Source organism: Homo sapiens, chromosome 3 (assembly GCF_000001405.40).
Source record: "Homo sapiens chromosome 3, GRCh38.p14 Primary Assembly".
Taxonomy (NCBI): Eukaryota; Metazoa; Chordata; class Mammalia; order Primates; family Hominidae; genus Homo; species Homo sapiens.
In genome coordinates this window covers 178,057,896-178,066,114 of record NC_000003.12, presented here as the reverse complement: position 1 = coordinate 178,066,114, position 8,219 = coordinate 178,057,896, and the positions used below count along the sequence as shown (strand labels likewise).

General features: G+C 38.4%; 1 long non-coding RNA gene across 2 annotated transcripts in view; it reads right to left on the bottom strand.

Moving 5' to 3' along the window:
• Window positions 1–266: 266 nt before the first annotated feature.
• LOC105374234 (uncharacterized) overlaps window positions 267–8,219 on the bottom strand; it is a 50,070-nt gene continuing 42,117 nt past the window's right edge. Inside the window, exon 3 of one of the 2 annotated variants that reach the window (XR_001741026.1) lies at window positions 267–293. This is a non-coding gene — a long non-coding RNA (uncharacterized LOC105374234). The remainder of the gene's footprint in view (window positions 294–8,219) is intronic. The other variant, XR_001741025.1, reaches the window with a different exon arrangement.

Genomic DNA, 8,219 nt, shown 5'->3' with positions numbered 1-8,219 from the left:
AATTCTGAAAAGCTCTTGAGAGGAAGAAAGCAGCCAGGTGCAGAGGCTTATGCCTGTAATTCCAGGATTTGGGCATCAGGAGGTCGAACCATGGAGTTTGAGATCAGCTTGGGCAACAGGGTGAGACCCGGTCTCTACAAAATATTTTTTTAAAAATTAGCTGGATGTGGTGTTAAATGCCTGTAGTTCCGGCTACTTGGGAGGCTGAGGTGGGAGGATTGCTTGAATTCACAAGGTTGAGAAGTTGAGACTGCAGTTAACCTCGATCCATAATTGCACCACTGCACTCCAGCCTAGGCGACAGAGCAACAGAGCAAGAAAAAAAAAAAATGAAAAGACAAGTTACCCACTGGGAGAAAATATTTTGAAATTACATACCTGAAAGAGGATTAGTAACTAGAATACATAAAGAACTCTCAAAACTCAACAGTTAAAAAACAACAACAATAAATATTCCAATTAGAAAATGGCCAGAAGACACATACAAACATTTAGCCAAAGGGACTAGAGAGATGGTATTCACATAAGCTGAAATTAGGTTCAATCTCATTAATCATCAGGGAAATGCAAAGTAACAGCCCACTATATACCTATCAGAATAGCTAAATTAAAAAAGAGTGACAGCAGCAAATGCTGGTGTATAGAAATGCAGAGAAACAGGATCACTCATATATGGCTGTGGGGGTGGGGGAGGATGTAAAATGGTACAGCCACTCTGGAAAACAGTTTGAAAGTTTTCTACTAAATGTGAAAATTCCGTATAACTCAACGGTTGCAATCCCAGACATTTAACCCAAACAAATGAAAACTTATTTTCACATAAAAACCTGTACATGAAAGTTTCTAACAGTTTTTTTCATAGTAACCAAGAACTGTAAACAACTCAGATTTCTTTCAATGAGTGAATGGTTAAACTGCAGTACATCCATACTAAAGAATACTACTCAGCAATAAAAATGAATAAACATTGGTATACACATCAACTTTGATGAATCTCCAGGGAATTATATTGAGTAAAAAATAAAAATAAAAACCAATACTGAAAGGTCACATACTGTATGATTCCATTTATAAGACACTTTTGAAATCACAAAACTTTAGAAATGAAGAACAAGTTAGTTGTTGCCAAGGGTCAGGAACAGGTAAGGAGGAATAAGGTCAGTATGACTATAAGGGTGCGAGAGGGACCGCCTGGTGGTGAGGAAACTGTTTTGTGTCTTGACTGTATCAACATCAAGATCCTGGTTGAGATATTGTAGTACAGTTTTGCAAAACGTTACCATTGGGAGTTATTGTGTAAAGTGTGGTACCTCTCTGCATTGTTTCCTACAACTGCATGTCAGTATAGTTATTTCATAACAAAAATGTTAATTTTAAGAAGATTTAGGGGGCTGAAAGATTTCTTTTAAAAAATCGTGGCTGGGCGCAGTGGCTCACACCTGTAATCCCAGCACTTTGGGAGGCCAAGGTGGGCGGATCACCTGAGGTCAGGAGTTCGAGACCAGCCTCAACATGGAGAAACCCCATCTCTACAAAATTAGCCAGGCATGGTGGTGCATGCCTGTAATCCCAGCTACTCGGGAGGCTGAGGCAGGAGAATTGCTTGAACCTGGGAGGCAGAGGTTGCGGGGAGGCAGAGGTTGCGGTGAGCCAAGATCATGCCATTGCACTCCAGCCTCAGCAACAAGAGTGAAATTCCGTCTCAAAAAAACAAAACAAAACAAAACAAAAAACTTCAACTCTACCTATCAGAACTGCAACTAGACCCATTCCAACAGAAAATATAGTCAATTTTTCAAGACTTTTCCCTTCAACCATTGGGCATTCTCTCCTCATCAAGAAAGTCTTCCTTATTCTAATCTAAGTTGCTTATGCTTTATCAGCTTATTTTTTCTGAATCCAGTCAGAGAGAAATTGTCACCATCTTCAGAATATCCTTCCTCCTATAGGAAATTATGTTTTAAAACAGAAATGACTTAATTATTACTTTTTAACTGATATTTTATGAGGTGAATCTCTGATTCATCTGCTCAACTGATAGCACTTCATAGCCTTTAGTTTCCTTGGTCCTAGAAGAAGAAAACAGATGAATCAAAAGCCTAGGTAACTACTTTTAGCTTTTCCTCTTTTAATGAAAGGTGTTGAGTCACCTTTTCTTTGCCAATATTTCTGCATTCTTACTAGGACTTTGGTGGTGGGCAATATTTTGGTACTAATTGTATTGATGGGACATTTTTTATTTTGGAGAACATTCACTGTTAAGCAAGTATATGCCTTAACTTTTTGATTTCCTTCCAAAACACTTTTTTTCCTAAGGTTTTATGAGTCAATTGCCATTTCAAAAGGGAAATGACCAGGCCTAGAGCCATCCTTAAAAGTAAGACTGCATTCTTATTAAGTGGGATATGGTTGCACTGTCAGTTCCTGGGGTGTGTGAAACTCAGGGGCCAGCTGGCTGAGGAGCTCATCTTGACTGTCTGTATTTAACGAGTTACATCATGCTTCCTTCTTGGGAGGAAGCTGGCACAGCTATTCTCAAGAAGGCAAACATTAATCTCCTATCACCCATTTGGGTCCTAATAAAATTCACTTAACTGATCCTTGAAGCCATGTGCCATTCTCTAAAACACAATCAACTTTTCCCATTAGAGGGAAACTGATTTGGGTGCTTTTATTACGGAAAAAAAGCACAAGCCATTTATGTGCAAAAGCTTTTTTCTGTTTGTCTGTTATTTGCCTTCTACTTTTCTTTTTTAAAAACAACACAACCGTAATAAAAAATATTCTGCCCTGTTTTCTTACATTTATTGATGATGGTTGGTTATAATACAGTGCAGGAATGGCCTGAGGTGCAGCATCATAATGGGCAGACAGCATCACAATAACAAGCTGTGATCGGGGCCAAGATGGCCAACTAGAAGCAGTGGTGGTCAGAGGCTCCCACTGAAAAGAACTAAAACAGCTTGCGAATCCTGCACCAGCAACTAAGGTATCCAGGTTCTGTCATCAGGACTGACTAGGCAGCTGGTGAGACCCACTAAGAGAAAGGAAGAGCAGTGTGGTGTGGCGGCCCACCTGAGAGCCACAAGGGGCAGGGGATCCCCCATCCCCCAGCTAAGGGAGGTGTTAAGCAAGCATGCTACCCATCCTAGGTAACCGTGCTTTTTCCATGGAACTGTGCAACCCATGAATTGGAAGTCATCATCCTCAGCAAACTAATGCAGGAACAGAAAACCAAACATCCTATGTTCTCACTCATAAGTGGGAATTGAACATTGAGAATACATGGACACAGGGAGGGGAACAACACAAACGGAGGCCTGTCAGGGGGTGGGGGTACGAGGGGAGTAGAGCATCAGGACAAACAACTAATGCATGCGGGGCTTAAAACCTAGATGATGGGTAGAGAGGAGCAGCAAACCGGTATGACACACATATACCTATGTAACAAACCTGCATGTTCTGCACATGTATCCCAGGACTTAAAGTAAAATAATAAAAAATAACATAAAATAAAAATTAAAAATTAAAGTTGTGACCTAGCATGAAATAATTGTTGTGATTTCAAGTGGCTGTTTTTTAAGGCAGGAGATAGTTTATTGTTTTCCTTAGGCTATGAGCTAAAAATGGAACTGGGGGCTGATTTATAAAGATATAGAAGTCTAGCCTAGGAAATGCATCTTTTAATATCTATAACCAAAGAATAGCATTTTCTCTATGTCATCAGCATGACCTTAATTTAGCATGGCCATTCAGTGGTTGCCTCTAATTCCCACAATCTGGATGCAAGAAATAACAAAGTGTGTTTGGTTTTCAGCATCAGCAGGATGCTGATTAGGATCTATCTTGAAAACTAAGTGAAACAATAAATGAGTGTGGAAGTGCTTTGTAAACTGTCAAGTGTTATCCATATAAAAATTGCTTTTGTGATAAGCCAAACAAAATAAATACTAAATATATAAGGGAGCAAAATTCTACGTTTTCTCTAATGGAAAATAAGTCTTTGAAAACACAGACTTCTGCCATTATGTTCATTTGTGTAATTTTCCTCTCCTGAAAACCATGTCTTCTAATCCCTCTCCAACTTAATGTTGTTCAATGTACAAATGATGTTCGTTGAATGACTGCTTGAATTAATTCTGGCAAATATGAAGGATGATGCACTGAACAACCATCATCAGCACAATTTGTGCTCTGTGGTACTTCTCCACCCTATTGTGATGAATTGGAACAGAATCATCAGAGTACTCTCACCTGGGAACCATGTGACAAATAATTCAACAGCATAGACACCTGGCCAGGGCTCAAGTTATTTTGTACAAATTGACCAACTGAGTTGGCCTTTGTTCTTTCCTCTCATTTCTTGGGCACTTTAAAATTGCAAACAAAAACACTAAAGTAGATGAAATAGAAGCAGAATATTCTAAATAAGATTGAGTTCAATTCCAGAATCTCTTTTTGGCCTGTCATTACGTTTTGGTAATAAAGCTGTGAGTAAGATATAGACATTGTCCCCTAGAAATCTGTGGAGAAGTGCAGAGAAGAGAATAATATCCATAAAGCATGGTGGGGACAGCATGGGAAAAAATGCTTAATATTTACTTTGGTGGGAGTGTAGTTCTGGAAGAGTTTACTTAGGGAAGATGGCATTTATCATGAGCCTGAAGAGATAGGTCAAATGTGAGAGGCAAAGATGATAGTCATTTACCACTGAAGAATGTTCATCCCCTATTCTCTTCTTTTCCATACGGGAGCAGAAGGGATTCAACAAGATGAGTCTTAGAATTCTCTGAATTCTAGAACAGGCATGTTATATTGATACAAGATATTAAAGCATTACCCAGAGAGATCCTACAAACAAATTTTAGGTTTCTTTTGCCCAATTATATTTTGAAGCAAAGCAAATATACTGTGGTAAAAGCATGGGATTTAGCATCAGACAAGATTAGGGTTCAAATCCTGGCTCTGCTACTTGAGCAGGTTATTTAACCTTTATAAACCTCAGTTTCTGTTTCATTAATATATGAATTACAGTGGTATTTAACTCATCAGAATTTTGTTAGGATTAAATGGTATAATGCATGGAAGGGGCTTAACCTAATGCTTTGCTCCCAGAAAGCACTTAATAAACATAAGCTATCACCATTACAAGGAATTTCACCCTCAATTACTGTATTTCTCATCACTGCATCCTCCATTGTTCAAGAAAACACAAATTATCTATGCTAAGGTAAATTTTTCATTTTAAAATATGAATTGCAAGGTGGTTTAAATGTATCTGACACCTCTATGAATGGAAACTTGCTGTAAGCTAAGTTGTATATATCGTGCCTCCCTCACTGTCACAGAGAAAGCCCAGTGTGGCTGCTTCTCCCTGTTTCCAGCAAAAATATTGTAGATAGGGTTGATTTATTGGGCCTCACATAGCATGGGCCATCTGGGATTACTGAGGAAATCATCAGCCTTGGGAGGGTCACTGTTTAGACTTGGGCAATCAGTGTAAGCTTGGACTCTGCACAAGAAATGTGGCTCATTATGCAGCTAGGCTATTAACTATCAACTTTCATTTAGAAATATAAATTCTGCTCTCTTGGCTGCCCCGCTGATCTGGTTATAATGTCCTGTGTGTAATGGAAAAGTACAAAGGCAAAAGATGGAAATTTAGACTTACTATAAGAGCAGTTGATGAAAATCCTGATTTCTGCATACAAATGAATTCCTTTTGCCAAACACATGTGTTCCAATTTACCCCATTGCCCCACTTTTAAATATCATGTTTAATTATGTAATGCTCCTGCTATTACTCACGCGATTTTGTTTTCTTATCCAGAAATTTATTCTTACTTGGGGTTTCTCTTATCTTTTTACTTGGTACTCTAATTTATTTTCCTTTTTCTTTTATTTATAGCTTTCCCATTTTAAATGTGTTGTTGCGGGGAGGGCAGCGGAGAGAACACAAAGAACATTTTAAAGGATATTACACTAAGATTTCAGTTGAGCATTAACAAGAAATCATTAAGCTGACCCATCATACGGCGCACACACATACAAATCATTGCCGAAACAAAACAAAACAAAAACTATGTGTCATGCATTGTACCAGGCATCAAGGAAGAAAAGAGAAACACAGTATGCTGCTCATCTTGATAGGATGGTCCTCAGTGACGGCACTTGTGCTTTCCAACCCCTTCCTATGAAAGCATTCTGAGGTTTTGCCTGCCACTTTGATTTTAATGGAAGTTACCCACTACTTTTTTCAGTGGTCAAGGCTTGCTGAGGGCTAATGCCACTAATGTTAACCATTTACTGTTGACCCTCTCCTAGAAAACTAGCAATTAAATGATGCGAATAATATCAGATTTAAGTAAGAGCAAGCAATATTTCCTTATTGTATAAAACTAAACTACCCCATGAGTTTAATAGCATTTATAGCCTCTGATAGAGCTGTGTGGACTTGCAGTGCAGCTTATTTTGTAATTGCTTTTTTTCAGTTTCTATTTCTTTATAAACCATGAGCCCTTCTATAGCCTCAGCTACTTACGCTGGTCTCTTTTTAGTTTGGCTTCTCTTTTTTCTCTTCCAGAACCGTTTTAGCACCCTCATCTGTAGGTTCCATTCCTTAGATTAACCATTCTTAATTCTAGCATGGCTCTGTCTTAAAGTACTCCCTGTGACAACACACTGATACCTAACTATATATGGATATGCCAGAGCCATATCACCTCTTGTTTGAAAAGCAAAGTATTCCTATTGCCCAGAGGCCCCATAGACACCCTATCTCTAAACAATCCCCTCTTTCCAAATTCAAAGAACTCTGACTCTGATTTTGGAAGACTGCCAAGAACTGTAGGAGAAACTCTATGTACTTTTCCAAAGCTACTTTCTATATACAGTTAGCAAAGTGTCCTAAATTTCTCTATGAGTCTCAATCTCATTGCTCTGTCTCCTTTTTAATATTACCCAATCTTATCATACTTCTATTTTTAAATTCACCTAGTAGACCCCTCTAAGGATGTTCTAAGCAAACCCAATCTAATTAAAAACCCAACTTTAAAATGTCTTATTCGAGCTTCCTTAGATCTACACCTTACCCATATGTTTGGGTTTTTGTTTTGTTTTGTTTTGTTAAGAGGTTACTTTATCTTCTGCATAGACCCAACAGATGTTTATATTTGTAGTTGGTGTGCCTATGGAGACGTCTCATCTCTACAGTTTGAATGAAGCCGTGTCAGCAATAATGTACTGGGGTCTATTCGGTCACGCTGATAGCCAGGGAGCAAGGTCATATGAGAGGCCATGAAAGAACTCTCTGTTAAGCTCCCCACTATTAGTCTTACTGTAAACATCACTGGTGACAAAAAGTGTTGTTTGGAAGGTATAAAGCCTAGCATCTTAAAAATCTGAAAGGCTGATGTAATTGTTCTGTTTGATAAGCTGCGGACAAGAAAAGACACGTACCTTAGAAAATAAAAAGATAAAACACTGTCTCTTTGTTTAGCCAAAGTAAGGACAATTTCTTTAAAGCTGATCCAAAACTTGTAACAAAGATGCACCTAAAGATATGTCAGCCTCATTACTTACCCTGGACCTTGTGTGATTTTTACCAATCACAGTATAAAGGATTAGGTAAACCAGCTGCAGTCCCTTGGATGTACTGCTAGTAATCTTACCTCTTATAACAGTCTCTTTATAGAAAAGACACTCAAAACATCATGGGAACTGGGATGATGCATAAGAGTATTTTTACTCACTTTCCATAAACAACTAATGATGGAAAATCCCTTCTCTGGCCTTATAGTCTCCTTCCTAGGTCTGTTCCTAAATAGTCCATCTGCTCCCTATGACCCACAGCTTTCTTGACTCGGCCCTGTATTACTTCCTGTGGTATTATTACATTTTCCTTTTTGCTGCCATATTACCTTTAAAATAGATTCCAGAAATGCCCTCAGAATCTTACGAATCAAATTGGCTTGAAGTGGAGAAGGGACCTTGGAGGAATCTTTAGTTCCTTCCGAAAGATAGCTAGGTAGGTAGACAGATAGAGAGAGAGAGAGAGAGAGAGAGAGAGAGAGAGAGAGATGATAGCTAGATAATAGATATAGACAGACACTCAAAATTATTCTTATTTTCATAATTTCTACTGATTAAGTCTAGTTCTGTTATCTAAGAAACCCCAATGGTGGCTGTAATGTTGAAAGGCAAATAAAAGTTAAAAGAAG